This window comes from Homo sapiens, chromosome 6 (genome assembly GCF_000001405.40).
Source record: "Homo sapiens chromosome 6, GRCh38.p14 Primary Assembly".
NCBI lineage: Eukaryota > Metazoa > Chordata > Mammalia > Primates > Hominidae > Homo > Homo sapiens.
In genome coordinates this window covers 102,606,095-102,607,917 of record NC_000006.12, presented here as the reverse complement: position 1 = coordinate 102,607,917, position 1,823 = coordinate 102,606,095, and the positions used below count along the sequence as shown (strand labels likewise).

General features: G+C 31.8%; 1 annotated feature.

Annotated features, from left to right (window-relative positions):
* Window positions 980-1,161: a silencer, noted in NCBI's record as "fragment chr6:103054632-103054813 (GRCh37/hg19 assembly coordinates)". NCBI's record gives its function as "represses an EF-1alpha promoter that drives an FKBP-Casp9 reporter gene in an ReSE screen in HepG2 liver carcinoma cells {active_cell/tissue: HepG2}" and the evidence as "EXISTENCE:reporter gene assay evidence [ECO:0000049][PMID:32094911]".

Sequence of the window (1,823 nt, the reverse complement as noted above, 5' to 3'; positions counted from 1 at the left end):
AGATTGTAAGATTATTAGTATCTATTTTTATGGCTTTACCATCAGAGAATATACATATTCTTTTGCATAAACATGCTTCAAATTGTTGCAAGTTTTTGTTACTTTCCAGAGGTCTGAAAAGGTTTATTCTGACAATTTTTGCCAGTTTTTTACTGTTATAGAGGAAAGAATTTTTGTGAGCCTTTCCTGTGCCATTTTCACTGATGTGACTCTTTTAATCTTTAAAATTTTTTTCTTGCTCTTGGTTTTTGAGGGTTCTTAATATAGTCTGATTAAAAGTCCTTTGCCAGATATGTTCTTTGCAAAAAAAAGTTTGTATCTTGACTTTTTATTTTCATAACATGGTCTTTAACAGATCAAAGTTTATCATATAAAGGTACTTAATCCATTCATTATTTTTCTTCATACATTTTGTTATCTCTTTGGACAAGAACAGGATGACTTTTTTCTATATTTTATTCCAAAAAGTTATAGTTTTACTTTAAAAACTATATTGATGATTCATTTTGAGTCAATTTAATGTGTGTTGTGAAGATTAGATCAAACTTTATTTTTAAATGCATAAGTCAGTTTTTAAAACATCATCTATTGAGAAGTTTATTCTTTCTTCATTAGAATACTTTTGCATTTTTGCTAAAATATTTGGCCACATTTATGTGGATATATTTTCTTTATTTCCATATATATATATATACATATATATGTATATATATGTGTGTGTGTATGTGTTATATATAATCTCCTATATTAATTGTACTCTGTCTGTATTCTGGTAGAGTAAGTCTTTAGATAGCTATGTTTAGCTTTTTTATTCTATTCTACCCAGGAAGGAGGTTCACTGTGCCCCAGTTACCAACTTGTCTGATTCTGGTAAGACAGAATACCCATGAACACAGCAAGTTACATGAAATAGGCTTATTACTTGCATATAGGCAACAAGGGAAAACAGAAGCCAAGGATTCATTGTGAGCCATCCTTCAAGGCTCAGGAAAGTTGTCCAGGACAGATGGAGTCTTAAATCCATGTGCCCTGTTTGCACTGCAGCTGAGGGACCTCACATAGCAGCCAGCCCTGGGTTTTATACCCCACCAAATTGTGACACACTGGGCTAAAAGCATTGAAGAACATCATTTTCTAGAGGAAATGGAATAGAGCACAAGCTCTTCCAACTGGCTCCCCACTTATCTCAGGGTGTTACATTTCAGTATATTCCATAGCTATTATGGAAGCTACAAACAAGAAAGTGAAGATAAATGAGTCAGTCCAAGAACTATCCTGCATACTTTCTTAGATTTATATATAAGTTTTAGAGTTTGCTTGTAAAAACTTACAAAATCCTTGCTGGTTCTATAAATTGTGGTGGGGAAAATTAACATCAGTACTAGCTTGAGTTTTTTCAATTCATAAGCAAGTTATGTCTCTCCATTATTCAGGTCTCTTTTCATTTACTTCATCACATTTTGCAATTTTATGCATGCAATGCCTGCAGATTTTTTGATAAGAGACTGTCCAAGGTAAGTTTTAAAAATATGTTGTTTTTAATTGTTAGTATACAGAAATACAATTCATGTGTATGAGCTAATCTTTTATTCTGAAAACTTGTTAAACCTATTTTTTTGTAGATTCCTTGGGATATTCTATGTAGACGTTTACGTCTTTTCCAAAAAGGATAATTGAACTTTTCATTTATGATTTGTATGATTTGTATTTTCTTGCCTTATGGCACTGGCCTACACTTCTAGTAAAGTATTAAATAGGAATGTCACATGGACATCTTTGCATTGATTTGGACTCTACAGGAACATCATTTATCACTAAGTATA